Source organism: Homo sapiens, chromosome 1 (assembly GCF_000001405.40).
Source record: "Homo sapiens chromosome 1, GRCh38.p14 Primary Assembly".
NCBI classification, from domain to species: Eukaryota; Metazoa; Chordata; class Mammalia; order Primates; family Hominidae; genus Homo; species Homo sapiens.
The window spans coordinates 43,161,650-43,189,513 of record NC_000001.11 but is presented as its reverse complement, the minus strand read 5'-3'; the positions used below and the strand labels follow the sequence as shown (position 1 = coordinate 43,189,513).

Sequence of the window (27,864 nt, the reverse complement as noted above, 5' to 3'; positions counted from 1 at the left end):
ATTCAATTTACAATAGCATCATGAAGAAAATTTTTCAGAATATATTTAACAAAAGAAGTGCAAAAGTTATACTCTGAAAATTACAAAATGTTCTTGAAACAAATTAAAGACAATCTAAATAAATGGAAAATATCTCATGCTCAAGAATTGGAAGGCTTAGTATTGTTAAGATGGCAACACTCCCCACATTGATCTATAAATTCAATGCAATCCCGGTGAGGATCCCAGATGGCTTCTTGTAGAAATTGAAAAGCTGACTGTAAAATCCATATGGAATTGCAAGGGACACAGACTACCCAAAACAATCTTGATAAAGTAGACTACATTTGCAAGATTCACAATTCCCAATTTTAAAGTTTGCTACAAAGCAGCAGTAATCAAGACAGTGTGGTACTGGCATAAAGATAGACAGATCAATGGAACAGAATTGGAAGTCCTGAAACAAACCCATGTGTCAACTGATTTCCAACAAGATGCCAAGACTACTCAATGGAGAAAGACTAGCCTTTTCAACAAATGATGCTGTGACGACTGGATATCTACATGCCAAAGAATGAAGTTGGACCCCTATACCATCCCATATACTCAAATGAATTCAAAACGGATTAAAGACCTAGATGTAAGAGCTAGCACTATGAAACTCTTAGAAGAAATACAGAGGTAAATCTTCATGGCCTCAGGCATTGGCTTCTTAAATATAACATGGAAAGCACAACCAACAAAAGAAAAATAGATAAATTCAATTTCATCAAAATTGAAAACTTCATCAAAAGACAACATCAAAAAAGTGAAAAGACAACCCACAGAATGGGACATAGTATTTGCAAATCACATATCTGATAAAGGACTTATATCTAGAATTATAAATAACTGTTACAACTCAATAATAAAAAGACATATGACTCAATTTTTTAAATGGGCAAAAAATCTGAATAGACATTTCTTCAAAGAAGAATTAGAAATTCTTGAAAAGACGTTCATCATTAATCACCAGGTAAATGCAAATCAAAACCACAATGAGATACCACTTCTTACCCACTAAGATGGCTATAATAAAAAAGATAATAACAAGTTTTGGCAAGAATATAGAGAAATCAGAATGCTCATATACTGCTTATGGGAATATAAAACGGTCCAGCAACTTTGGAAAACAGTATGGCAGTTCCTCAAATAATTGAACATGAAGTTACCATATGACTCAGCAATTCCACTTCTAGGAAGAGAAATGAAAACCCATCCACATAAAAACTAGTTGCATTATTCATAAAAGCCAAAAGGTAGAAAAAACCCAAATATACAAATTTGATGAATAAAATATAGTATATCCATATAATTAAATATTATTTGGCCATAAAAAAGGAATGAAGTACTGATACCTGCTACAACATGGATGAACATTGAAAACATGCTGGCCAGGTGTGGCGGCTCACACTTGTAATCCCAACACTTTGGGAGGATGAGGCGGGTGGACTGCTTGAGCTCAGGAACTCAAGACCAGCCTGGGAAACATGGCAAAACCCTGTCTCTACTAAAAATACAAAAGCTAGCTGGGTGTGGTGGCGTGCACCTGTAGTCCTAACTACTTGGGAAGCTGAGGTGGGAAGATTGCTGGAGCCCAGGAGGTCAAGGCTGCAGTGAGCCATGATCACACCACTGCACTCCCACCTGGGTGACAGAGCAAGACCCTGTCTCAAAACAACAACAAAACCCATTATGCTAAGTCAAAGAAGCCAGTCATAAAAGTCCACACGTTTTATGATTCCATTTGAATGAAATGTCCAGAATAGGCAAATCTATATATAGAGACATGAAGTAGGTAAGTAGTGGCCTAGGGCTGGGGTGGGGAGGGGTGATAATTGGGAGGATGGAGGAATAATAATAGCTAAAGGGTATGCGCTTTTTTTTTTTTTGAGGTGATAAAAATGTCCTAAGGCTGTCTATGATAAATGGTTGCATAACTTTTTGAATATACTAAAGACCACTGAATTGTATACTTTGAATAGGCAATTTGTATGTGAATCATAACTCAATTAAGTTGTTATTAAAAAAAGGACCATTACTGAGAAAGATATGTTAAATCTTCTACTATGATTGTAGATGGTCTATTTTCCTTGTTCTGCCCAGATTTGCTTTATATATTTTGAATCTATGGTATTAGGTACATGCAAACTTAAAATTGTAATATCTTATTGGTACTGAGCCATTTTAAGTACAATATGATCTCTATCTTTAATAGTGCTTTTTTGTTGTAATGTCTGCAGTGTATTTATACTAGCTTTCTTTGTTATTCCAAAACAGTAAAAAGGAAAAAGAAACATTTTTATATATACATATTTGTGTACATGAGCAAATATAGCAATAGATTAAATGCCTTAAAATGCAATTTCTGGGTAAAAGGATATGTGAGATTTAAATTTGATGGACAATGCCAATACGTCTGTCCTCCAAAGTTACTGTAGCAATCACAGCCCCACTGAGTCTATCAGCATGCTTCTATGTGAATATCTTAAAATTAGAATTTTGTTTTGCTCTGTATTAAGGGGATGCATGAGTTTATGCTAACTTATTTGGATTAAAATTTGCCCACATGGTGACTAGTCCCCCAGCAGGCAGATAGGTCCTGGTCTGGAAGGACCATTGCTGGAAAGACTCACCTTGCTGATCTCTGTCAGGGACATGGTGATGCTGTAGAGTTGGTTCTTACTGGTGCTGGCAACCAGAGTTTCCTCTGAGGGGCTGAAGCACAGGCAGAGAACGTCCTGTTTGTCAGACTGACTTGGATCATTGCTCTGCGGGTCCACAGGAATCTGCCCAAAATGCAAAACAGCTATCAGTAATGTCCCCACGTTGTCATTGTGGCCTTAGGCTTTCAGAGTTTTCTTTTTTTTTTTTTTTTTTTTTTTGAGACGGAGTCTCGCTCTTTTGCCCAGGCCAGAGTGCAGTGGCACTATCTCAGCTCACTGCAAGCTCCGCCTCCCGGGTTCACGCCATTCTCCTGCCTCAGCCTCCCGAGTAGCTGGGACAACAGCCGCCCACCACCGCGCTTGGCTAATTTTTTGTATTTTTAGTAGAGACAGGGTTTCACCGCGTTAGCCAGGATGGTCTCGATCTCCTGACCTCATGATCCGCCCGCCTCGGCCTTCCAAAGTGCTGGGATTACAGGCGTGAGCAACTGCGCCCGGCCTAGGCTTTCAGAGTTTTCTTGGATAACTTTAGCTTACAGACTCCCAGACCAGGCTGCTTCCTGGGATCCTCCTATTCTTTGTTTTTTTGAGAGAGGGTCTGGCTCTGTCACCCAGACTGGAATACAGTGGCATGATCTTGGCTCAATGCAACTTCCACCTGCCAGGCTCAAGCCATCCTCTCACCTCAGCCTCTCAAGTAACTGGGACTACAGGTGCACACCACCACATCTGGCTAATTTTTTTTTTTTTTGAGACAGAGTCTTGCTCTGTCACCCAGGCTGGAGTGCAGTGGTGTGATCTTGGCTTTCTACAACCTCTGCTGCCCGGGTTCAAGCAATTCTAGCTGGGATTACAGACACGTGCCACCATACCTGGCTACTTTTTGTATTTTGTATTTTTTTTTCTTTTTTTGAGACAGAGTCTCAATCTGTCGACCAGGCTGGAGTGCAGTGGAGCGATCTTGGCTCACTGCAACCTCTGCTTCCTGGGTTCAAGCTATTCTCCTGCCTCAGCCTCTCAAGTAGCTGGGACTACAGGCACACACTGCCACGCTTGGCTAATTTTTGTATTTTTAGTACAGACGGGGTTTCACCATGTTGGCCAGGCTGGTCTCAAACTCCTGACCTCATAATTTTTTTTTTTTTTTTTTTGTAGAGATGGGGTTTCACCATGTTGCCCAGGCTGGTCTAGAACTCCTGAGTTCAAGAGACCCACCCACCTTGGCCTCCCAAAGTGCTGGGATTACAGGCATAAGCCAATATGCTGGTCGATTTTCCTATTTTTAAACTCTAATTCTGTTCACCTCATCCTAAAATCTCTCTCAGGACAGACATCTCGAGTCACCATTTCACCATTTCTGCTCAGCAATCCTGCCCTATCCCTCCCCATCAGATGCCTTCTCAGAGAACTGCTGCTGGGGAACAAATGCCAATAGGACCCCCATTTTACTTCTTTTTTTTCTTCCCGCCTTACCCTGATTTCTCTGCTCTCACGGTAAAAATCCTTTTCTTCCATCTTCTCAAACAGCAGAACTCTCCCTGGCCCAGCAGAACAGGCAAATCCCTTTGAATAGGCTGCAATGGCAAACACCTGGGGCATGGACATCTGGCTATGGCTACTGGCCGCCACCATCTGTTCATAGGAAGGGAGTGGAGAACTGACTGGTGGAAATTCAATCAGGCTGGAAACAAAAAAACAGCATACATAATTTATAGAGACAATCTTGAGGAGATGAATTCTGCTGGGGAGGAGAAAGAAGACTGTCACTGGGTGTGACAGAAACCACCCAATGATCCCCTTTTCCACAGTCAAATACTACCCTTTGGCTTGGGAACCGTACACAAACTGCACATGGCCAAGCCTAGAAGCAAGAGAGTGCTTGGGGCGTGTGGAGTAGACAGAGGCGAGAGTTGTAGAGGAAAACAGTCGCAGGTATGCTTGGGCCAAACCAAGAAGTCTGGGCTTTGTTCTGGGAGGCCTGGACCCCAGAGCTGAAGGACTGTGAACACAGCTCCTGGAGAAGGTTATAGAGACTTTTCAGGAAGCTCCTACATACTCACAAAAAAAAAAAAAAAAAAAAAAAAAAAAAGGATATGCCATTGGCATGGGGGGATGGTAGTGAAAATGGGTGGATTGAAGGTTACTGAGGAAGAAGAATCTACAGGATGTCATTGGGGTTGAGGGCCCAGGCTCTGGCATCAGAGAGATCTGGGTTTGAATCCTGAGCCTGCCACTTATCAGCGGAATGATCTTGGGTAGTTCACTTACCTCTTTGATCCTCAGTTTCCTTGTCTACAAAATGGGCACGATAATAGTATGAACTATACAGGGTAAGAATCAAATTGGGAATATTTATAAAATGTTTAAAGCAGTGTCTGGTGCATGTAACGGTACATTCCAATACACAGGAGATATGATTTTTACTGGTTGTCATAGAGATAACGTGGCATCTCTATTATAATGGTCAATAACCACTCCTTCCTGAGATTGCACTTTACCCCTATCCTCTGTCAGATTTACCTAAAACATTTCCTTGCACTTGTTGGTCTGTCGCCTCCTGCTGAATTATAAGTTCCTTGAGGACTTGTGTCCCCAGCATCTAGCAAGAGATGCCTTTTGCATACTACAAGGGCTTGGTGGACATGAATCAATTCATTAAATTAGCCACTGGAAAATATATTTTCTAAAAACTATAGTTTTGAAGACCAGTAATACTATAATGTTTATAAAATGAGGTTAGGTATAAAAAATAAAAAGAATTGTATTTAGTCTATGGTTATAACTGTTAAATCTGTGCTTAAATATAGACGAAAACTAGAGAGGAAGAGGGAAAATGGGCATAGTTGACTTTTACGGTAGAGGGGTTATGAGTGGTTTCTAAAGAGTGCTGTCTTCTGCATAATGCTGTCAGTACAATGAATGTGGGAGCACCAGCCCAGGAAGCACCATTACCTCTCTGATTCCTGAATGACATCCAGGCTCTTTGAGCCATTGGTAGGTTCCTTGACCATTATGCTGGTCTCCCAACGCTGATCTCCAGATTCAAAGAGGAAGAGTTTGCCTGTGTCAGTGCCAACGACAATCTTGTCATCAGCCACCCAGGTGTGAGCTAGATAGTTTTGGGGTTCTCCCCTCTGAAAGCTGGTTTGCTTCAGGGTTCCCTCAGCAAAACGGAGAAGCTTAAACATCCCATTTCCAGTGACACACACCTGAGTGTTATCCTGTGGACTGAAGCTCACCTGTAAAATGTGAGAGAATTGAAGAAAAAAATTTATGAAACTATTCTTGATGGAATTATTTCCCATTTTACAAATTAATATTTATTTCAGGCTGCTCAGAATATCTCCAAAACATCACAAAATCATGTAACTTTATGCTGCATTTGATAAGGGCACACATCTATAATCCATTATATTTATAGGGATATGAGTCCAACTAGGAGTCAAACTAGGAAATCTACAAAGGCCAAAGAGCAGAATGAACAGCTTTTGACAAGAGCCACACCCAGTGCCAACAAAATGGAATAAAGCTCAGCTGGAAACACAGAAAAAGAGGGTCTGATAGGTTTACATAGCCCTGTCCAAGAGGAAAGAAACCACATGTCAGGGGATGCTATGTGGTCTCCTACCAACTGAACATCCTTCAATCACAGCTCTTATCCCAATGTACACCTGCTCCTCTACTTACAATGGGATCATGTCCTGATAAACCCATCATAAGGTGAAAACACCATAAGTTGAAAATGGGCAAAGCCATGTGGCCACACAGCACCACACTGTAGAGTATCTTGGTTGTTACCCTAGTGATTGAGCGGCTGACCGGGGGCTGTGGCTGCAGCTGCTGCCCTGCATCATGAAAGCGTATTACTTGGTCTCTTTCTCCTGAGTGCATATCACTCTTGTACCATTGTAAAGACGAATATTTTAAGTTGAACCATAGTAAGTTGGGGACTACCTGTACAGTAATAGGCAGTCAACCTGCTGTCCTGACTATATAGTGAGCAACTTGAGGGGCTGTGACTTTTTCATCTGTTTTCCCAGTGCTGGATTCATCATGGGCATCCAATAAATGGTTGCTGAATCTACTAGTCAGAGCAGGAGGTCCTTCATCAGGCCTCACTGTGGCCTGGTTGAAATACCCTTCTGGTTCTACCTGCCTTTGGTCTGATTCTGGAATAATCACCCAGCAGCCTTCTGATTACTATTATAATTTCACCTCTCAACTTCTCTATTACTAGGAAGGGAATACACTGGATAAATGATGTGAGCATTCTGGTTGTGATATGCTGGTTTACACATCAGTATCTTGTGAGTTGAATAATTGAGTCTATGCCAGAGACACTGATTAGCTAGAATCTCTGAACATGAACACAACTGAGTCGTTGAACTTGTGGAATTGAGTGCTAGATCCTAGACTAGGGTGAGTGAACCAAGATCAAACCTCCTTGGGACCCCCTGCCTAAGCCATCAATCAGGTTCCTGAGGGGTCTTCTTCCTTTTGCCCTCGAGACACAATAGAAGGTTCTGTTCCTTACATAACTGCAACTTCAGCAACAGCTTCCTAAAGACCTACCATGTTACATCACATTTCGGAAATCTTCCTACTGCCCGGCAATGCTGCTGGAAAAAGAGGCTAGGACCAGGGAGAGAAAGCAAGTTTTATTAATCCACTTCTGGGCCAAACCTGTGACCAGAAAGCAGTTCTGGGCCAGAGTAGAGAAGACAGGAGCTGGAGTTGGGGAACTCCTAGCTCTGCTATTCACTACCTCTGTGATCTTGAGTGAGTTACTTAACCTCTTGGATCCTCAGTTCTCTCATCTGTAAAATGGGGATAATGATTGTGCATACCTTATACGGTTGTTGTAAGAATAAATTTTAAAATGCATGGAGGAAATTAGAACTGTGGTACACAGAAAACATTCAATAAAAAGTAGTTCTATTTTTTATAATTTTCACGATACTTGTCACACTACTAGGTACCTGGTAGACAGGGTTGTTCTGAGTGTCGATTCTAACAATGGCCATTACTTTCTGTTTTTCCCACAGCCAGTAGACAAGATTTGACTCTGGAGGTGACGTCTGAGCCAATAGGTATTTGGAGTCTGGAGAAAAAGCCATGCTAATAAATTTCTGAACTTGGAAGTCAAAATTATTAAGAACTTTGCGCTTCCGGCAAGGGATGGATGACAATTCATAAATGGTGATGGCAGGTTTTTCTTGCACAGTCTCAGAGATAGCGAGGTACCGCCGATTGGGACTGATGGACAAGGCCAACATGCCCTGACTCTTCTCTGAGCCTGCAAACAGAGGAAAAAGGAAATAATCAGGGTAGATCACACTTTCACCAGGGTTCAACAGGAACCAGGCACTGTGGTGGGCACTGGAGTGGACAGTGGTGGACACAAAGAAGAAAGGCGGCCTTGGCATAGCTGTGTTTGGGTATTATGAAAATGACTAGGGGCCAGGTGTGGTGGCTCACGCCTGTAATCCCGGCACTTCAGGGGGCCGAGGTGGGCAGATGACTTGAAATGGGGAGTTCAAGACCAGCCTGGCCAACATGGTGAAACCCCATCTCTACTAAAAATAAAAAAATTAGCCGGGTGTGGTGGCAGGCACCTGTAATCCCAGCTACTCGGGAGGCTGAGGCAGGAGAATCACTTGAACCTGGGAGGTGGAGATTGCAGTGAGCTGAGATCATGCCACTGTACTCCAGCCCGGGAGACAGAGCGAGACTGTCCCCAAAAGAAAATGACTAGGGCAGGCACCTTGGAGGATGAGGTGGGAGGAGAAGTCAGGGAAACCTTCCTGAAGGAGGGCAGGGGGTGAGGTGAGATGGGGACTGGGTGGTAGATAGCAGGAAGAGCTTGAGCCACGGGGTGGATGTGACAAAGGGTACAGCATAGTGCGGGAACTGCAAGCAGTGGGTGTTGCTGGAGCATTGCATGTGAGATGGGGTGACCAAAGATGGGCCTAAAGGGGTGGAATAGGGTCAGACCATAGAGGTCTTTATTCCCTGAGTGGCTAGCTCATCACTCCTCCTCTACTCCAGAGGTTGGGATGCCAACTACTGGATTCCTCAGCCTCCCTTGCACTCACCCTTCCTAAAATTTTTCAGCAGCCTCCCAGGTGAAGTCCAAACTTTTGTGCAAGGCTCTCAGTGACCTAGAACCTGGGATCTTCTCTGAGCCACAGCTACTCTCTGCATCCCTTCCAGAGAATTCCCATGGGCTGGGCATGCACGCCTGCTGAGCAACTTGCTGCATCTCTCCTTGGCGTGTTGTGAAGCAGCAGCATGAGGGCCCAACACATGGGGACCCGTCACATCACTCTCTAGCTCATCCTCCCTTGCCTCACTCACGCTCCCTGCCCTGGGCCTGTATCCACCATCCACTTATCCACTAGACACAGTGCCCAGGACCCACAATACTTTTGAGGACCTAGGAAAATGTTTTAGTATTTATTTGAAAATCAGAAAAAACATGAATATATAATGGTGAATCCAGCCTAGATTATATTCCTCTTTATACCAATACAGTCATAAAGTATATTACTGCATATATTTTTAAATAATATATGTGTGTATATATATTTTATATATATATATATAAAATATATATATTTTTTGAGATAGAGTTTCACTCTTGTCGCCCAGGCTGGAGTGCAATGGCTCAATCTCGGCTCACCACAACCACCACCTCCCAGGTTCAGGTGATTCTCCTGCCTCAGCCTCCCGAGTAGCAGGGATTACAGGCATGTGCCACCATGCCTGGCTAATTTTGTATTTTTAGTAGAGACAGGGTTTCTCCATGTTGGTCAGGCTGGTCTCGAACTCCCAACTTCAGGTGATCCGCCCACCTCGGCCTCCCAGAGTGTTGGGATTACAGGCATGAGCCACCACGCCTGGCCTATAAATATATTTTTAAACATTTTTTAATGAAGGAGGGGGCCATGAAATCAAAAGTACCTAGAGCCCTCGAAAACAATAATGTGACCCTGATTGCATTTCCCAAAGAGAGGGAGAAGAAAGGAAAAGATAAACTCAATCTCAGATATATTGTGTGTGAGGTACACTCTGTGGAACAGTTGGGTACGGAGGTCCAGCAGGTGGACATGGTTCTAAAGCTGGCGGGAGGGGTTGAGGCTGAAAATACAGATTTGAGGTAAAAAGCATAAGGGAAAGTTAAAACTAGGAGTATGTAATAGCCTAGATGAGGCAAAGGAACACTGCTCACTCCCTCCTATTGTGCTTTTGTGCCAGGTTCCTACCTGGTATAGCATCTGTCCAGCTCATTTGCACAGTCCTACTCATTTGAATTACACAACCTGCCTCCACTACAATACTGAGAGCTCCTGGAGGGCAGAGGCCATTCTTGCTCATTCATTCATTCATTCAATCACCAGTGTCTGGAACTTAGTATGTTCTTGATATATGTTGACTGGTTTTAGAGTTTGTAAAATGCTTTTGCATTGTTTCGACCCAGCTGATGCCTCGCCTCTCCTCCTTAAAACATTTTCGCCTCTCACATAGATATCCTTTTATTATTATTATTATACTTTAAGTTCTAGGGTACATGTGCACAATGTACAGGTTTGTTACATATGTATACATGTGCCATGTTGGTGTGCTGCACCCATTAACTAGTCATTTACATTAGGTATATCTCCTAATGCTATCCCTCCCCCTCCCCGCACCCCACAACAGGCCCCGGTGTGTGATGTTCCCTTTCCTGTGTCCAAGTGTTCTCATTGTTCAATTCTCACCTATGAGTGAGAACATGCGGTGTTTGGTTTTTTGTCCTTGCGACAGTTTGCTCAGAATGATGGTTTCCAGCTTCATCTGTATCCCTATAAAGGGCATGAACTCATCCTTTTTTATGGCTGCATAGTATTCCATGGTGTATATGTGCCACATTTTCTTAATCCAGTCTATCGTTGATGGACATTTGGGTTGGTTCCAAGTCTTTGCTATTGTGAACAGTGCCACAATAAACATACGTGTGCATGTGTCTTTATAGCAGCATGATTTATAATCCTTTGGGTATATACCATGTAATGGCATGGCTGGGTCAAATGGTATTTCTAGTTCTAGATCCCTGAGGAATCACCACACTGTCTTCCACAATGCTTGAACTAGTTTACAGTCCCACCAACAATGTAAAAGTGTTCTTATTTCTCTACATTCTCTCCAGTACCTGTTGTTTCCTGACTTTTTAATGATCGCCATTCTAACTGGTGTGAGATGGTATCTCATTGTGGTTTTGATTTGCATTTCTCTGATGGCCAGTAATGATGAGCATTTTTTCATGTGTCGGTTGGCTGCATAAATGTCTTCTTTTGAGAAGTGTCTGTTCATATCCTTTGCCCACTTTTTGATGGGGTTGTTTTTTTCTTGTAAATTTGTTTAAGTTCTTTGTAGATTCTGGATATTAGCCCTTTGTCAGATGAGTAGATTGCAAAAATTTTCTCCCATTCTGTAGGTTGCCTGTTCACTCTAATGGTAGTTTCTTTTGCTGTGCAGAAGCTCTTTAGTTTAATTAGATCCCATTTGTCAATTTTGGCTTTTGTCGCCATTGCTTTTGGTGTTTCAGACATGAAGTCCTTGCCCATGCCTATATCCTGAATGGTATTGCCTAGGTTTTCTTCTAGGGTTTTTATGGTTTCAGGTCTAACACTTAAGTCTTTAATCCATCTTGAATTAATTTTTGTATAAGGTGTAAGGAAGGGATCCGGTTTCAGCTTTCTACATATGGCTAGCCAGTTTTCCCAGCACCATTTATTAAATAGGGAATCCTTCACCTCTCACATAGATATCCTGTGATCTTTTTGGCCACTCCTCCAAAGCCTCTTTTGCTGATTCTTCCCCATTTCCCCAGCACTAAATGCAGGAGTGCTCAGAGCTCACTCTTTCAGCTGCTTCTCTTTTGTAAATATATTCATGCCCTAGGGCAGGGGTCCCCAACCCACGGTGCTGGGCTACACAGCAGGAGGTGAGCAAGCATTACCGCCTGAGCTCAGATCAGTGGCGGCATTAGATTCTCATAGCAGCACAAACCCTGTTGTGAACTGTGCATGCGAGGGATCTAGATTGTGTGCTCTCTGTGAGAATCTTAACTAATGCCTGATGATCTGGGGCAGAACAGTTTCATCCTGAAACCATCCCCCATACCCTCTCCATCCTGTCCATGGAAAAACTGTTTTTCATGAAACCTACCCCGATGCCAGAAAGGTTGGGGACCACTGCCCTAGGGAAGTCTCATCTACTCTAAGGGCTTTACATTTCACCTCTAGGCTGATGACCCTCAAATTCCTTTCCTAGCCTGGACTTCCCTCCCTTAAATCCAGACCTGAAATCAACCTGCTTACTGAGCATCTCCATGAAAATATCTAGCAGGCACATCAATCTTAACAGGTCCAAAACCAACCTGCTCCTTCTTTAGCCCTTTCTATCACAATCAACAGCAACTCCATGCTTTCCATGCTCAGGCCCAAAACCTTGCTTCTTCCTGCTTCCACCCCACATGGTGTCTATGAAGAAATCTGTCAAAGCATATCCATTATTGATCTCTTCACACCACCCTGTCGCCTGCCTCTACCTGCTCCAAGTGCCATTATCTCTCACCTGAATTACAGCAATCATCCCTCAGCTGTTCTCCCTGCTTCCTTTCTTTCTCCTCCTTAAATCTGTCCTCTGTACAGCAGCCAGAATGAACCTGAGGAAACACAGATCATGTTGCCACTCAGAACGCACCCCTTTATGGCTTCTCATTTGACTCTGAGTAAGAGCTCATGAACTGCAAGCCCCTCTGTGGTGTTGCTCCCCATTCTTTCTTTGCCTCCCCTCTTGCTCCTCACCCCCCGGTTCTTACCACTCCAGCCACACTGGCCTCCCAGCTATTCCTCCAACACAATAAGCACCCTCCTAACTCTGAGCCTTTGCTAGTCTCTCGGCTACTCCCCCTGCCCTCCCACATCAGCACAGCCAGCTCCTTCCTTTCCTTCAGTCTTCACTCAAAAATCACTGCTCAGTGAGCCCTCCCCAGCCTCCCTATCTACAACTTCTTACTCCCCCAACGGCTTCACTTTCCATGCTTTGTTTGTTCTTATTAGCATCTATCACTATCTAGCATGTAGACTGTACTTCTTTTTATTTTGTTTGTCACTCTCCCCTCTTAGAATGGAAGCACTGTGAGGACAGCATTTTATGTGCATATGTGCGTGTCTATTTTGTGCCTGGAACACAGGGGGTACTTAATACATTTTTGTTGAGTGAACAAATGAATATGTTGAGCCTCATCATGACTCTGAGCTGAACAAGCTGAGCATCATCTGCATCTTACAGATGAGGAGACTGAGGCTCTGTGAGCCTATAAAATGGGGAGCCAGATCAAAGCCAGGTCTCCCAATGTCATGACCTTTATATTTTTCCCTTCACCGGTAATACCCTTAGACTTGGTCAGTGGAGATCCTCCCTTGGGCCTCAAATTTTAGAGCATCCCGGAGTCTTTCTCTGGCTGTACCCCTTACCATTAAGTGGGATACAGTGGCTGCCTGGAGTTTGTCCTGCCTCTTCTAGATCACGTTGCAGGTACCCAGGACTCTGGAGTTCCCTGCTCAGATAGTCTTGAGCCTGCTGACAAGACCAACATTGGGGGTTTCTTCCCAGGCTGTCTCTACTCAACCTGGGCCTGAAGGATGGGCACAGGGTGGTTGCTTATAGAATATATGGGTAGAATTTGAACATATGGGCTGCAAGGATCCACCCACATGTGTACAAGGCCCCTGGTGATATAAGATGGAGTTAGGAGCAGAAGAGAAGTGATACAGTAAGAAGTGTAAGAATATGAGCACAATAACTGAAAGTAAAATCTCAATGGATACATTAAACATTAAGTTAGATGCAGCAGAAAAGAGAAGCAATGAACTACGAGATACATCTAAAGTAATTATCTAGAATGCAACACAGAGAGAGTAAGGTATAAAAAATCCAAATAAGAGTTCAAAAAAAAAAAAACCCAAAAACATGAACGTCAGGTGTGGTGGCTTGCACCTGTAATCCCAGCTACTTGGGAGGCTGAGGTGGGAGGATGAGTTGAGTTCAGGAGTTCAAGACCAGCCTCAGCAACATAGCCAGACCCCATCTCCATAAAAACAATTAGCTGGTCAAGGTGGTGCATGCCTGTATTCCCAGCTATTCAGGAGGTTAAGGTGGGGAGGATGGCTTGAGCCCAGGAGTTTGAGACTGCTGTGAGCTATGATTGTGCCAGTGCACTCCAGCCTGGGCAACAGAGTGAGACCTGGTTTCTTAAAAAATAAATAAATAAAATAAAATAAAATAAAAAACTGGAAGGATGGAGTTGAGATGGTTTGGAGTTCCAGAAGGAGATAACAGAACAAAAAAGATACCTGTCCTTAGATCCAGGAATCTCAAATAATCCCTAGGAGGATAAAAAATGAAAATAAAAACTATACTGATGTGTGTGTCTGTATCTATATGTATGTATATATACTATGTATATATACATGTACATATAGTATATGGTGTGTGTATATATGGTGTGTATTTTATACGTATATATGTATATGGTGTATGTGTATAGATACATACACACACACACCATAGACAGAGAAGATATTAAACATCCAGAAAAAAAGATCATCTACAGAAAGACGATGCTGATAGCTAATTTCTTAACCACAGCAACAAAAGAGAAGCCAAAAAAACACAATGGAATATGATCTATAATATGCTGATAAAAATTTCACACCTGTTGAAACTATCTTTCAGAAATGAGGATAAAATAAAGTCATTTTCAGACAAAAACTGGGAGAATTTATTAATACATTATCAGTAAATGCAGAAGGAAAATGATCCCAGCTGGAATATCTGATTTGTAAAGAGTAATGGTGGGAAAAAGTTTGGTAAGTATGAGAGCAAATATAAATTAATGTTGTCTGTAGAAAACCATAATTTAATTTATATTGGAAAGTCATATGATCTTTTTTATTTTTGTTTTTGAGACAGGGTCTGGCTTGGTTTCCCAGGCTGGAGTGCAGTGGTGCGATCTTGGCTCACCACAACCTCTGCCTCCCGGGTTCAAGCAATTCTCCTGCTTCAGCCTCCCGAGTAGCTGGGACTACAGGCACGTGCCACCACGCCCAGCTGATTTTTGTATTTTTAGTAGAGACGGGGTTTCACTATGTTGGCGAGGATGGTCTTGATCTCTTGACCTCGTGATCTGCCCACCTTGGCCTCCCAAAGTGCTGGAATTACAGGCATGAGCCACCACACCTGGCCAGATGTCCATTTTTATTGCCCCTAATCAACACTGTCTGGAGGTGCTTACCAGCACAGGTAACACAAGAAAAAGGAAGAAAGTCATCGTTATTTGTAGATAACATGATAGTCTATGTAGAAGTCTCTGCATAATCTATAGACAAATCATTAGAATTAATAATAATTTAGCAAATATGCTGGAAATAAACATCAATAAATTAAAGTCAACTGTATTTAATACAGCTTATTCCAACAGAATATTATGTGGTTGATAAATTTGACTTTATTAAAACTAATAATTTTTGTCCATCAAAAGATACTTGTAAGATGGGAGAAAAATGCCCCAAACTGAAAGAAATTATTTGCAAGACATATATATATATCTGACAAATTATTGATATACAGAATATATAAATTGTGCATGTAAATCAATAAAATTGCCCAAAAATATCCTGCACAACAAACTGTAAAAAACAAGTAAAAGACTTGAACAAGGCATTTAACATACGACTAAATAGGAATAGCCCATAAACAGATACTCATCATCATTAATGATAGCAAAATGCAAACGAAAACCACAATTCCTTTTCTCAACCATTGGGTTAGCAAAAAATTACGAAGTTGGACAATACCAAGGGTTGGCAGGGTTGCTGAGGAATAAGAACTCTTATGCACTTCTAGTGGGAGTGTAAATTGGTACTATCATATTGCTCAGTAATTTTAGTCCTGGCTGTGTGCCCTAGAGAATCTGCACAAATAGATGAATGTATATGCATGCAAGAATGTTTATAGTAGTATAGTTTGTAATAGCAAATGATTGTTATTTCCCAAATGTCCCTCAATATTAGAGTGAATACATATATTTGAGACATTATATTCATATGATGGAACACTACATAGCAATAAAATGAACTTGGCTATATGTATCGAGATGTGTGAATCTCAAAAGCATGACATTGAACTGATGCAGCAAGACACAGAATACAGGGAGAAGCACTAGAACTGGTAATATTCTGTTTCCTATGCTGGGTGGCTGGGTTCACAGATCTACATTCTATTGTAATTCTTTAAATATGACATATATGTAGGGTACATTCTTTTGTATGTATATGTCACAATAAAAGGTGTCAATGCAACAAAGAATGGGAAAATGGATTCGGTTGTTGAAATAATGAATATCATTAACAGGACCACTGTGAACAAAAATAAGGGCTGTAATGCTATACAAATGGTTATTTGCGACTTGGGATAAAGTTTACAGTGTCTTCATCATACTTGGATTCAAACGGTGATATAATGAAGGTGGTGTGCTCAGGAAAACTGTTAGACAACTCAAAAAGTGGCTCTGGTGATGACAAAGGCAGTGATATTGAAGACACCAAAAGAGGGGTTCTTAACATATTTTCATGAAATTACAGTGAAAAAAGTACTTTTAAATTAACATTTTATATGTGATTTTAACTACATATGCGTGACTGATTAATCTAGTTTCATAATACAAGTCGCCATTTATTTCCTCTACATTTATAATACTGCATATATATTCAAATTGGCCAAAATCTTTCTTTCCAATCATCATGCTGGGATTATGGGGTTATATGTGGCACATACCATTCCTGTATATGTCAGGATGGAAAAAGTTTTACCTGGAATGAATTTTTGCCATTTCTGATCCACATTGTACTTCACACAGTGATTTCCTGAAGGAAATATAATGATCTGTTCATCGAAGTAGAAGATATTGTTGGCCACGTGGGATCGAAGACCAAAAACATGCAGCGTCTGAGCTACCACGGCTGACATGATCTCCCGCCAAACAGTTCTGCTGAAGACCAAGGCAGCGCTTCAGAGTGGAGAGCACCGCCCCGCTCCGACCCCGCCCCCGGCCCGGACTCGCCCTCCCCGCCCTTTGCTCCTCCCCTTGTCTCTCCCCTTTCTCCTCCCCTTGTCCCTCCCCTTTCCCCTCCCCTTGTCCCTCCCCTTTCCCCTCCCCCGGGGTCCTCCTCCGCGCCACCCCACCCCCGCGGCTCCTTTTTCTGCCTTTTCCTTTGTACCCTCACTGCTACCAGCTCCTTCTGGCGACCCCCAGGTACCCCCTCCCACCTTTCGTTTCTCTCTGGGTCAGCAGACCACGCATGTATCCAGAGGCGCTACCTGTAGGGATCCTAAGCAACCCGGACACTTTCAAACGCCGTAGCGGTTCCTATAGCAACGACAAACCGGAAGTATGGTTTGCCGCCGGAAGCGGAAGTCCCAATCAAAAGTTGAGCAGTAGCTGTGAGTTGCTGGCGCTGGAGCGATTCGGTGGCACGTGGAGCCACGGCGTGGGAGTAGGGGGCTGAAGGCAGGCAGCAGCGGCCAGGGCCGCCCTCTGCTAGCCGCTTGGGTCTCGGGATACCCCGTTTCTTCCTGTAGGTGTGGGACGTGCGTGCGGCGAGATGGACACTCCCCCGCTCTCGGATTCGGAGTCGGAATCCGATGAATCCCTTGTCACAGACAGAGAGGTAGGTGTCAGCCGAGCTCGTGGGGCTGGGCGTGGGAGAGGGGGCCTTACACCCCTGGGAGTGACCGTGATTGTGTCCTGCAGTTGCAGGATGCGTTTTCCCGAGGGCTTCTGAAGCCAGGCCTCAATGTCGTGCTAGAGGGGCCGAAGAAGGCCGTGAACGACGTGGTGAGCGTGGGCACAGGGTCGGGGGTACTCGGACATGGGATGCGCTTCAGGCGCTGTTGGGCTTGGGAGACCGATTCTTGTCCCAGGAAAGATGCACCCTGCGCCTCGCCAAGAGGGTCAATTACCTGTCTGGGTATTGGGGATTAGCACTTTGTCCCTTCGCCTAACAGCCTGTGCTTGGGAAAGACAAACTCAGAGTTCCCTTCTTGTGAGCTCAGTGTCTGGATTTCCTAGAATGGCCTGAAGCAATGTTTGGCAGAATTCAAGCGGGATCTGGAATGGGTTGAAAGGCTCGATGTGACACTGGGTCCGGTACCGGAGATCGGTGGATCTGAGGCGCCAGCACCTCAGAACAAGGACCAGAAAGCTGTTGATCCAGAAGACGACTTCCAGCGAGAGATGAGTTTGTATGTTTGTTTTCAAATGTTGGAGAAGTTGAGGATCCTTGTGCAGGAGAGTGGGAAAGAGGGGAAATTAGTAAGTCTGCACTCAGAATAAGCCTAGGAGTAGAGAGAGCGGCTTCTTTTGACTAAGAATAGCTAGGAGATTCTTCCTGTTTGAGAGAAGAGCTCTTTGGTCCACGGTCACGATCCAAAATCCACTTTATGGGCTAATTTGAAATATTCATGTTAAAACTTTTTGTGCATGCTTCAGTTATTAGGAAAACAAACAAACAAACATTGCTTATGGGATGTTCTTGTGTGGAATTGCTTTAGTAATTACATAAGAATCCATAATCGACATTCGTTTGTGTTAATGGGTACCTTTAGAGTAGTCATTCTCTTAAACTATTTTTAGCAACACCCCTCCCCTTTTTAAAAACTAGTATACGGCTACATTTCTTTTAGATACTAAATCAGTGAGACAGTTTTTGTTTGTTTGTTCTTGCTAATGGAGGTCAGATTTTGAGAGTCCTTCTGAGCTTGGATAACTCATGATTGGCGGTGAAAAGGAACGTAAGGCCTCCTCCTTCACCTCATTACACATTTTGTCCTACGATTCTCAGCTATCGCCAAGCCCAGGCCGCAGTGCTTGCAGTCTTACCCCGCCTCCATCAGCTCAAAGTCCCTACGAAGCGACCCACTGATTATTTTGCGGAAATGGCCAAATCTGATCTGCAGATGCAGAAGGTAAGAAATAGAAGTTTTCCTCTGGAAAGTCAAAACTTTGTACTTAAGCATATTCAGCTGGCTTAGAAAGATAGCTATGAGCCCAATAACGGGGAGCCAGTTGTCAGAGGACAATTATTACCTCTTCCATAGATTGGCTACTTCAGAGTCATGCCAGTTACCACCAATTAGATGCATATAAAAATGACATTTTTTCTAAAATCAGCAATTAAGGAGAGGAACAGTGCTGTGTGAAGTGTGGTCCCCGAGGTGAAGATGGCCCAGTGCATTTCCTAGCTGGCATGGTCATGACATGGTGTGCAGAGAGGACAGCATTCTTGTGCCCTTGCCACTGTCAGTGCTAGAACTTGTAGACAATTACTTTTCTCTGGGCCTCAGTTTTCTCCTCTGTAAAATGAGGGATTCTTAGATGGTTCAGATATAGTACAATTTAGAGTTGGGTAGAACTTGGACCTCATTTAACTTTGGAAGAAGGGATTGCCAGCATGTAATCCAACATACATTCAGCCCTCCATAGCCATGGGTTCAGCATCTGTGGATTCAACCAACCTTGGATCAAAAATATTGGGGAAAAAAATTTGAAAATATTGCAAAAGGAAAACTGAATTTTCCGTGTGCCGAGAACTACATTGAATCCATGAGAATGAGGTGATGCATAGCATTGTATTCGGTATTATAAGTAATCTAGAGACTATTTAAAGAAGCGGTCTGGCACTAGAGACTAGTTTCGTGGATGACAATTTTTTCATGAACTTGGGGAGGGGATAGTTTTGGGATGAAACCGTTCCATCTCAGATCATCAGGCATTAGATTCTCATAAGGAGCAGGCAACCTAGATCCTTTGCATGCATAGTTCCATGCATAGTTCACAGTAGAGTTCGCACTCCTATGAGAATTTAACGCCACCACCAATCTGACAGGAGGTGGAGCTCAGGTGGTAATGCTTGCTTGCCTGTCACTCACTTTCTGCTGTGCGGCCTGGTTCCTAACAGGCCACAGATTCATAGTGGGTTCGTAGCGGTCTGTGGCCTGGGAGTTGAGGTCCTCTGACTTTAAAGGATACTGGAGGCGAGTGTAGGTTATATGCAAATGCTGCACCATTTTTATATAAAGGACTTGAGCATCTGTGGATTTTGATATCTGTAGTGGGTCCTAGAACTAATCCTCTATGGATACTGAGGGATAAGTATATTTAAATAGTACCCTGGGGTCTCAAGCTGGATTTTAGGGAGCTTTTGTCGTGGTAGTAGTTCACCTTCTTACTGTGAACTCTGTACAAATTCTCACTGACAACTTCTCATCCTTTAACTAAAATGTGTATGTTTGACTGAAAAGGCTAGGCACCTGGTATCTGCCTGGGTTTTTATTGTGTATGTGGTATACTAGAAAAGGACACTGAGGCCGCATACTGGTTTCCAGCCTCAGTCTACTGACAGTAGAAATGGGGAGAAGTTTGTCTTCTTTCCTGGGCTACAAATAGGCAGTTTGTATAATGAAACAGACAGCACACTGGGAGCGGGAAGGTGACTTTCAATCTCTGGCTTCACTCTGGCACTTTTGGTAAAGTGCTCAGCCTGTGGGCCCCATTGTCCTCAGGGGTTGGAACTGATGATTTATAAGTTCCGCAGTTTAAAGAACAGGGAATATCTGTTCCCTGCTCTAGCGAATCCTAAGTAGTGGTCATTCCAGATTCAAATGACATGAACTGACAGCATTTTGTGTTGTAGATTCGACAGAAGCTGCAGACTAAACAGGCTGCCATGGAGAGGTCTGAAAAAGCTAAGCAACTGCGAGCACTTAGGAAATACGGGAAGAAGGTGAGAAGAAAAGTGTGCAGGGAACAGGAAGAGGCGGAGTGTGTGTTAGATGAGATTGCCGTGGTCTGACTTGGTCCCCTGAACTGAACGGAACTGTGTGTTGATCATGTATTTACCGTCTCTCAGTGTATGTGCTGGTATTCATGAGCACAATCTTGCCTGGACATGAGTGGTTCCCCAGGAGTAGTATGGTGACTGCAGGTGAGCCAATCACCTCTCTGGGCGTTAGTTTTCACATCTGTACACTGGGTCCAGATGAGTGGTTTCCAAACCTGACCTTATAGCAAAATCACCAGGGGAAATTTTTCAAAACAGAATTCTAGACTTCAGAATCCCCAGGAATCTGTGCCTGTTTTCCCCTCTTCCCCAAAAGCTTTCCAGGTGATTCTGAAATGCATCCTGGTTTGGGATTCACTGATCTATGTGATAATCACGTACCTGAAGAAATTATCATAATGATTGTCATCCAATCTGAAAGATTGCCTGCGTGTTTGAACTATGAATGTCTGAGTTCTAATGTAACACCAGATCAGGCATACCCTAAAACTTTTCTTGGTTTTCCTTTTTTATTTCATGGTCATCTAAGAAAGAAGATGACAGATTTTAAAGTTAGGATTGTGGGAAGAAATGAATGTGAGGAAGATTGGTGTGGGTGTTAAGACTTCGTCAACATTTGGACATAAGCACTTGTGATCTGGGCTGCAGAACTCTTGTCCACGTTTGGAGTCATTTCACTGATACATTCTCAGCAAAGTAGGAATAGGCTGGGATCCTGTCCTCTACAAAAGGCCTGCTGCGGATTTATTATTTCTTTGATCTGGAGGTGGATGGCTGAGATTCTCTCAAAGACACCAGTAATTAATTTAACATAGCCAAAGTTACCAAAAGCAAAGACAAACTCACTTGGGCCTATTAGTTCACTGTTCCTAATTTAAGGAAACACTGGGGAAGAGTTTGTTAACTGGGGGTGAATTTGCTCCCCAAGAGTTTTCTGTGACTGCCTGGAGATATTTTTAGTTGTCAAATTTGGGAGGGAGGGTACTACTGGCATCTAGTAGGTAGAGGGCAGGGGTGCCGCTAAATATCCTACAGTGTAGGACAGGCCCCTACCCCCCAGCAAAGAATTATTCTCTCCACACTGTAGCAGTATCAAGATTGAGAAACCCTCTGTTAGAGTATTATAAAGTGTCTCCTTTTATCCTTCAAACTTTTTTCTTTTCTTTACCTGGGGACATTGTTTTTTTCTCTTCCTTTTGGTACTTTCATGCCTAGTAACAGTGAGTTAGATAATTAATCTGTCCAAATGTGATGCGAAAAATCGATGTAGTCTTAAACATGATTTACTTCAGTTTTGTAGGCAGGATTGTATAATAGGGTGAGTGCTGGCTTTGGAGTCAAACAGCCTGGGTCATCTTGGCTGTGCATTTTTTCACTGTGCGACTTGGGCAAGTTAACTTCCCTGTGCTTCAGTTTAGGGGATAACACAAATTTCAACTTCACTGGATTGTTATGAGACAGATATATCTTCATCTATGAAGAATATACCTAGATCTGAGAATATACTTAGAGTCCCTAACACAGTTTTTGGCACGTAGTAAATGTCAGAGGGTAGTGGTATTAATCATGGTGTTGCTATTAAGACAATGTAGACACTGGAGTAATGGTATGGAATGGCTGTAACGGTCCTTGTGTTCATATCACAGGTGCAAACGGAGGTTCTTCAGAAGAGGCAGCAGGAGAAAGCCCATATGATGAATGCTATTAAGAAATATCAGAAAGGTTGGTACATCTCTAATAGGGGAACGAGGGTAGCAGGTACTTTAGAGTTGATTTGAACACTTAGTGCTTTGGAGCCTTCTTGGTTGATGTGGACCTGTCGGATCAAAGTTTTGGGAATGGTGTTGGAGAGCAGGATGTGACTCTTAAAATCAGTGTAGCAAATAACAGCCTCATATGGTGGTTTAAACTTTTATTCTTAAAATACAATGGTGCTGATCAAAACTACTTCTTCACTTACAGGCTTCTCTGATAAACTGGATTTCCTTGAGGGAGATCAGAAACCTCTGGCACAGCGCAAGAAGGCAGGAGCCAAAGGCCAGCAGATGAGGAAGGGGTGAGAAGGGTTTTGGCATGGTTTCTTTGGTTCTGTGAGGTGCGATGGGGCCACAGGTCACGAGTATGGCAGACATAGCACCTCCACCGGCGCAGCCATAGAGTCCAGAGAGTGCAGCTGCTGCCTGGGGCCAGGACCCCTATGACTGTGTGATGGGCCCTTTTAGCCATGTCAGTCTTTGAAGAGTAAAAGAAGGCACTTTTTAAACTTCTTTTTTTTTTGGACAGTCTCATTCTGTCACTCAGGCTACAGTGCACTGGTACAGTCTTGGCTCACTGCAACCTCTGCCACCTGGGCTCAAGTAATTCTGTGCCTCAGCCTCCTGAGTAGCTGGAACTACAGGTGCCTGCCATCACACCCAGCTAATTTTTGTATTTGTAGTAGAGACAGGGTTTCACCATGTTGGCCAGGCTGGTTGTGAACTCCTGGCCTCAAGTGATTCACTCACCTCAGCCTCCCAAAGTGCTGGGATTATAGGTGTGAACCACTGCACCCATCCTAAGAAGGTACTTTTAAGTATGTGGCACCCTTTAAGTGAATGCTGAGTAAAGTTGATTCCCCATCACACAGTGCGATGGTTGAGAGTTCAGACCTAGGGTTCAGATCCCGACTCTACCACTCAGTAGGAGGGCAGTTTTGAACGAGTTACCATGCCTTTCTAAATGCTAATTGCCTCATCTGCTAAGTTGAGGAAATAGTGTCTGCCTCATAGTATGAAGACTGAAAGAGAGAATGTGGGCTCTCATTGTTTTTTCTAGTCTGCTTTTTTGCATACCTGGATACCAGGCCTAGGGGAAATGATAATTTCCATGTAAGATAGTAAGTGCTATGATAGAGGCATTTGGGGATTAGTACTGAGTCAGCTTTTATAAATACCTGACAGGGTCTGGGGTGGATTTCTGGAGGAGCGTTCGACTTGAGCATTGCTTGAAGCATGAGTAGGAATTAACCACGAGAATAGAAGAGAAGCTGGGTTTGGGAAGAAGTAAGAGCTTGAACGAGCAAAGCCATCGAGATGTGAAACCTCAGGGTTTTGTGAGGAACAGTAAGCCCTTGGTGTCACTGGGAATACAGTGCAAAGCAAGGAGGGGTGCAATGTGTTTGGGGGGACCTGGGCTGTGGGTTTGCCTTGTTGAGGAGCTTGGGCTTTGTCAGAAGGCAGTGGAGAGACTAGGTTGTAGGTTGTACTAACAGTAATGAGCAGGTTATATTCATGTTTTTAAAAAGATCACAGTGGATTTTGTATAAGTGACAGACTTGAGGGAAGCTGGGAAATTGACAAGGGTACTATTGCAAAAGTCGAGATAAGGATTGAAGAAACATTTAAGAGGTGAAATGAGCAGGACTCAGTAATTGAATTGGGTATAAAGAGTGAGAGAAGAACCAAGGCTGACTCCCACATGTTTAGCCTGTGTGTCTGGGTTGGTGGGAGCAGCGCCAGCCTCAAGTGAGGGCATATGTACAGGAAGCAGAGCCAGTCCAGGAGATGATGTGAATTTGGAGATGCTGAATTCAAGATTCCTATTGGATGACCAGTTTTACATTTGAATGTTATTCCATTTGAATGTTATTTGAATGCCTATAATTACATTTGAATGTTTACATTTGAACGTATTCATTACATTACATTTGAATGTTACAAATGTAACATATTACATTTGGATGTTAACTGCATGTATTTACCCTTGAGAGGAATAGACACAACTGAGGGTGATTTAATAAGATTTGGTTAAAATAGAAAGCTTTCTAAAGACAGCAGGAAGCCATGTAATATATGTAGAGCCTTCCCTGCTTCTTGCTTTATTTTCCTGCCCTGGTGGTCAAAACTGTAAATAGGTGAGCTAGATGAGTTTGTCTAGAGAGGCTGTAGCATAGGATTGTGGGGCCAAGGATGAGATTCTGGGTTACAGACGTGCCTAAGGGGCTTTGCTTATAGAAAGGAAACTGAGAGCATTGCTGGGCCATCAGGTTCATCAGGCTTTACAGTGCTGTAGTGATGTCTAGGACCATTCTTTTCCAGGCCCAGTGCTAAACGACGGTATAAAAACCAGAAGTTTGGTTTTGGTGGAAAGAAGAAAGGCTCAAAGTGGAACACTCGGGAGAGCTATGATGATGTATCTAGCTTCCGGGCCAAGACAGCTCATGGCAGAGGCCTCAAGAGGCCTGGCAAGAAAGGGTCAAATGTAAGTGAGCCCAGGTGCCCGGGTGAGGAGCAGGCTCAGCCTCCCCTCCCACTCCCAACCCTGCCCTCTCCCTTCAGTTCTGTTCGTCCTCACCCTGGGGCAGAAGGCAAGCTGCTATGTGACCAGATGTGGTATGTCTTTTTCTGTAGAAGAGACCTGGAAAACGAACAAGAGAGAAGATGAAGAACAGAACACACTAAATAGCATCTTTGAATACAAAGAACCAAGAAAAAGGAATGAAGACTCGCAATTTCACGACACACTTTGATCCCTTCTGTTGGTGTCATGTTGTAAACATTTCTTTCAATAAACTAAAGAAAAATTATTAAAGGAACACATACCTTTGGTTAAATAGTCTAGACTAAAAGATTGAGAAGTTACTTTCCATTGCTATCTATTGATAATTTAGACATTGAGTTCAAATTGCCTTCATTTTATGATAAATAATGATTTAACTGACACCTTCTCATTTCCTTTGTCTCATCCTTCTAAATAGTTATATTACGATCAATCCCTGTAAAGCTCAATGCCCATATTTTACAGGTGTGAGCCACCGTGATTTTCTTTGTGGTACAGCTTTTGGTTTTTCCTCCAGTTAACCTTCACCTTACATTCTTCTGCTTGCCTAATTTTCCTTCTATATTCTTAGTTCTTTCCAGATGCTTTGTCATTTTACCCACTTTATAATTTTTCTCCTACAACCTAGTTATGCCACACAACTGTCACCTTTTTTCTAGACCGTTTAAGTTGGCACCATTATTTCCAGAATCCCATGTTTTCCCATCTTAGCATATGCCTTCTTTTGCTGTGTACCATTTTTTGGTATCTTACTAAGAAAGGGAAGATGAGAGGTAAACTTTTTATCTCCTTGCATTTCTGAAATTGCCTTTAATTTGGGCTGATAGGAATTTCCTCCTTAGAATTTTAGAATTTCGCAGGCACTGTTTTTAAGTTTTATTTCAGTTCTACTTTTGGGGGGAGATATATTTTTGTTTTTTAAAATCTTTTTTTTTTTTTTTTTTTTTTTTTGAGACACAGTCTCACTCCATCGCCCAGGCTGGAGTGCAGTGATACAATCTTGGCTCACTGCAACCTCCACTTCCCAGGTTCAAGTGATTCTGCCTAAGCCTCCTGAGTAGCTGGGATTACAGGCGTGCGCCACCACACCCAGCTAATTTTTGTATTTTTAGTAGAGACAGGGTTTCACCACGTTGGCCAGGCTGGTCTCAAACTCCTGACATCAAGTGATCCACCTGCCTCTTCCTCCCAAAGTGCTGGGATTACAGGCGTGAGCCACCATGCCCGGCCTAAAATCATTTTATTGAATATGAAGTTTAGCTTTCATTTCATTTATCCCCCAAGAGTTTCTTATTCTCTATTTGGTCATTTTTCATATCATTTTACTCTTATCCTCTAGATGCAGTATCTTATATCTCTCAGAATATGATTATAGTTTTAATTTTTTTGATAAAGTTTCCCTCTGTTCCCTTCATTCTGTTTCTGCAGCCCATGCATTTTGATCTCCTCTTTCCCGTGTTTGAGCAGTAGAGTATTGTAGAAGCTAAGAAGCGTGGATTCTGGGGCCTGGCTGTGTTGCTTACTTGCTGTTTGACCGTAGGGAATTTAATTTTTATTTGCCTTGTCATCTCTAGCATAATGTAGATGTATCTACCTCATTGGGTTCCTGTCAGTATTCGGTTAATCAATGTAAAACACTTAGAACATTATCCTAATATAATCCGATAATCTGATAATCCTCTCATATTCCTTTGATTAGGATTGTTTTGCTGGGGTTTCTTTCCTTAATATCTGGCAAGCCTTGGTTGTTCATACATAAGCGGAAGCTCTGCGTAGGTGGTACATTGAGTAGGCAGGCCACATTAATTGTTGGGCTTTACTCTGTGTTGATAGGGTGGTAAACCATTTTACCTGCCCCTTCTCTCTCCATTCCAGTTTAGAAATCATACTTTATTTTTAAAGAAGTTAGAAATGCCTGAGAGCTATATAGTATCTTTAGCAGAAAGAATAATTTATTTTCACATTTTCTTGTAGCATTATTGGCACATGAAAAGGATATTTCTGGATTCATATAATACTAAGATTGTAATGTAGAACAAAGAGAATTTAGTTTTTGTAAACTAATTTCAACTAACAAAACTGGTCACACAGGTCATATCAAGAAGACAAAAATATTTACTCTGTCCTCTTTCATAATTCATGCCATATTATTGAATGGGGATAATGTGTAACAGGCTCAGAAGCAGTTTGAGACTTTGAATTATGCAAGTAAATATTGAGAGTTTCACAAAAGAAAGCACAGGTTAACAACATTTCACATTGATAAAGCCAAAAGTAAGTTTTTAATAACAACATACCTCTAAAGGCTTTCTTGAAAACTATGTCCCCCCTCTTTTACTTCTTGTTTTTTTCTCTTTTTTATTACAGAGCAAAGATTTACATATGGACTCACTTTCCTTAGTTTTAGAAATATCCTCTGTAGAACTCATTTACATCACTTCTATCATTCCAACCCTCAAAATAAAGGGTGATCAAGGTGCAGGTAGCATTATGCCTTCTTTTTCTTTTTGTATAGACAGGGTCTCACTCTATTGCCCATGCTGGATTACAGTGATGTGATCATAGCTCACTGTATCCTCAAACTCCTTGGCTCAAGCAATCCTCCTGCCTCAGCCTCCCAAGTAGCTGGGACTACAAGTGCATGCCACTATGCCTGGCTAGGTGTTTTTATTTATTTATTTATTTATTTATTTATTTATTTATTTATTTATTGTAGGGACAGGGTCTTGCTCTATTGCCTAGGCTGGTCTCAAACTTCTGGGCTTAAGCAATCCTGCCTTGGCCTCACAAAGTGCTGGGACTACAGGTATGAGCCACTGCACTCAGCCTCCTTCATATTGCTTTAAAATAAATACAATCCCATCAATTGAAAAATAAGTAGGAACCTAGGAGTCCCCAATACAGATTCTAATATG

General features: G+C 42.6%; 2 protein-coding genes, 1 long non-coding RNA gene and 1 other non-coding gene across 26 annotated transcripts in view, besides 11 other annotated features; 3 read left to right on the top strand and 1 right to left on the bottom strand.

Moving 5' to 3' along the window:
- LOC105378685 (uncharacterized) overlaps positions 1-7,832 on the top strand; it is a 68,913-nt gene extending 61,081 nt beyond the window's left edge. For all 5 annotated transcript variants that reach the window (XR_007066041.1, XR_007066039.1, XR_007066040.1 and 2 more), the window contains one exon: positions 7,730-7,832. This is a non-coding gene — a long non-coding RNA (uncharacterized LOC105378685). The remainder of the gene's footprint in view (positions 1-7,729) is intronic.
- Positions 1-17,184, bottom strand: part of CFAP57 (cilia and flagella associated protein 57) — an 82,029-nt gene extending 64,845 nt beyond the window's left edge. For 7 of the 17 annotated variants that reach the window (XM_017000422.3, NM_001378189.1, XM_011540798.2 and 4 more), the window contains exons 1-6: positions 17,061-17,184; positions 16,604-16,779; positions 7,664-7,980; positions 5,637-5,923; positions 4,158-4,365; positions 2,655-2,807 (exon numbers count right to left, since the gene is read on the bottom strand). In XM_017000422.3, the coding sequence (XP_016855911.1) occupies positions 2,655-2,807; positions 4,158-4,365; positions 5,637-5,923; positions 7,664-7,980; positions 16,604-16,760 (1,122 nt within the window). In that variant the 5' untranslated portion in view covers positions 16,761-16,779; positions 17,061-17,184. Of the gene's footprint in view, positions 1-2,654; positions 2,808-4,157; positions 4,366-5,636; positions 5,924-7,663; positions 7,981-12,302; positions 12,394-13,207; positions 13,369-16,603; positions 16,783-17,060 lie in introns of those variants that run through there. The other 10 variants (NM_001195831.3, XM_011540793.1, XM_047447334.1 and 7 more) reach the window with 7 other exon arrangements.
- Positions 2,542-3,042: an enhancer, noted in NCBI's record as "H3K4me1 hESC enhancer chr1:43652143-43652643 (GRCh37/hg19 assembly coordinates)". NCBI's record gives its function as "activates a minimal SCP1, AML or CMV promoter by ChIP-STARR-seq in naive H9 embryonic stem cells {active_cell/tissue: H9 hESC(naive)}" and the evidence as "EXISTENCE:reporter gene assay evidence [ECO:0000049][PMID:30033119]".
- Positions 3,043-3,543: an enhancer, noted in NCBI's record as "H3K4me1 hESC enhancer chr1:43651642-43652142 (GRCh37/hg19 assembly coordinates)". NCBI's record gives its function as "activates a minimal SCP1, AML or CMV promoter by ChIP-STARR-seq in naive and primed H9 embryonic stem cells {active_cell/tissue: H9 hESC(naive and primed)}" and the evidence as "EXISTENCE:reporter gene assay evidence [ECO:0000049][PMID:30033119]".
- Positions 11,391-11,892: an enhancer, noted in NCBI's record as "NANOG hESC enhancer chr1:43643293-43643794 (GRCh37/hg19 assembly coordinates)". NCBI's record gives its function as "activates a minimal SCP1, AML or CMV promoter by ChIP-STARR-seq in primed H9 embryonic stem cells {active_cell/tissue: H9 hESC(primed)}" and the evidence as "EXISTENCE:reporter gene assay evidence [ECO:0000049][PMID:30033119]".
- Positions 16,758-16,957: a silencer, noted in NCBI's record as "silent region_776". NCBI's record gives its function as "represses an Ori minimal core promoter by ATAC-STARR-seq in GM12878 lymphoblastoid cells {active_cell/tissue: GM12878}" and the evidence as "EXISTENCE:reporter gene assay evidence [ECO:0000049][PMID:35858748]".
- Positions 16,758-17,512: a biological region, named in NCBI's record as "H3K27ac-H3K4me1 hESC enhancer GRCh37_chr1:43637673-43638308".
- Positions 16,877-17,512: an enhancer, noted in NCBI's record as "H3K27ac-H3K4me1 hESC enhancer chr1:43637673-43638308 (GRCh37/hg19 assembly coordinates)". NCBI's record gives its function as "activates a minimal SCP1, AML or CMV promoter by ChIP-STARR-seq in naive H9 embryonic stem cells {active_cell/tissue: H9 hESC(naive)}" and the evidence as "EXISTENCE:reporter gene assay evidence [ECO:0000049][PMID:30033119]".
- On the top strand, positions 16,944-25,340 carry EBNA1BP2 (EBNA1 binding protein 2). 3 transcript variants are annotated; one of them, NM_001159936.1, is made up of 10 exons: positions 16,944-17,234; positions 17,373-17,461; positions 17,545-17,628; positions 17,863-18,035; positions 18,635-18,758; positions 20,486-20,575; positions 22,279-22,354; positions 22,595-22,688; positions 24,709-24,871; positions 25,021-25,340. In NM_001159936.1, the coding sequence occupies exons 1-10, from the start codon at positions 17,093-17,095 to the stop codon at positions 25,069-25,071; spliced, it is 1,086 nt and encodes a 361-aa protein (NP_001153408.1). In that variant the 5' UTR covers positions 16,944-17,092; the 3' UTR covers positions 25,072-25,340. The 3 variants fall into 3 exon arrangements, with proteins under 3 accessions (NP_001153408.1, XP_047297445.1, NP_006815.2); XM_047441489.1 differs by having other exon boundaries at positions 16,988-17,046; NM_006824.3 differs by having other exon boundaries at positions 17,224-17,461; positions 25,021-25,330.
- Positions 17,068-17,117: an enhancer, noted in NCBI's record as "active region_913". NCBI's record gives its function as "activates an Ori minimal core promoter by ATAC-STARR-seq in GM12878 lymphoblastoid cells {active_cell/tissue: GM12878}" and the evidence as "EXISTENCE:reporter gene assay evidence [ECO:0000049][PMID:35858748]".
- Positions 17,198-17,327: an enhancer, noted in NCBI's record as "active region_912". NCBI's record gives its function as "activates an Ori minimal core promoter by ATAC-STARR-seq in GM12878 lymphoblastoid cells {active_cell/tissue: GM12878}" and the evidence as "EXISTENCE:reporter gene assay evidence [ECO:0000049][PMID:35858748]".
- Positions 17,458-17,687: an enhancer, noted in NCBI's record as "active region_911". NCBI's record gives its function as "activates an Ori minimal core promoter by ATAC-STARR-seq in GM12878 lymphoblastoid cells {active_cell/tissue: GM12878}" and the evidence as "EXISTENCE:reporter gene assay evidence [ECO:0000049][PMID:35858748]".
- Positions 17,458-18,149: a biological region, named in NCBI's record as "H3K27ac-H3K4me1 hESC enhancer GRCh37_chr1:43637036-43637672".
- Positions 17,513-18,149: an enhancer, noted in NCBI's record as "H3K27ac-H3K4me1 hESC enhancer chr1:43637036-43637672 (GRCh37/hg19 assembly coordinates)". NCBI's record gives its function as "activates a minimal SCP1, AML or CMV promoter by ChIP-STARR-seq in primed H9 embryonic stem cells {active_cell/tissue: H9 hESC(primed)}" and the evidence as "EXISTENCE:reporter gene assay evidence [ECO:0000049][PMID:30033119]".
- MIR6733 (microRNA 6733) lies at positions 17,802-17,862 on the top strand. The gene has a single exon (NR_106791.1). It is a non-coding gene; the product is annotated as a microRNA 6733 (primary transcript).
- Positions 25,341-27,864: the final 2,524 nt, after the last annotated feature.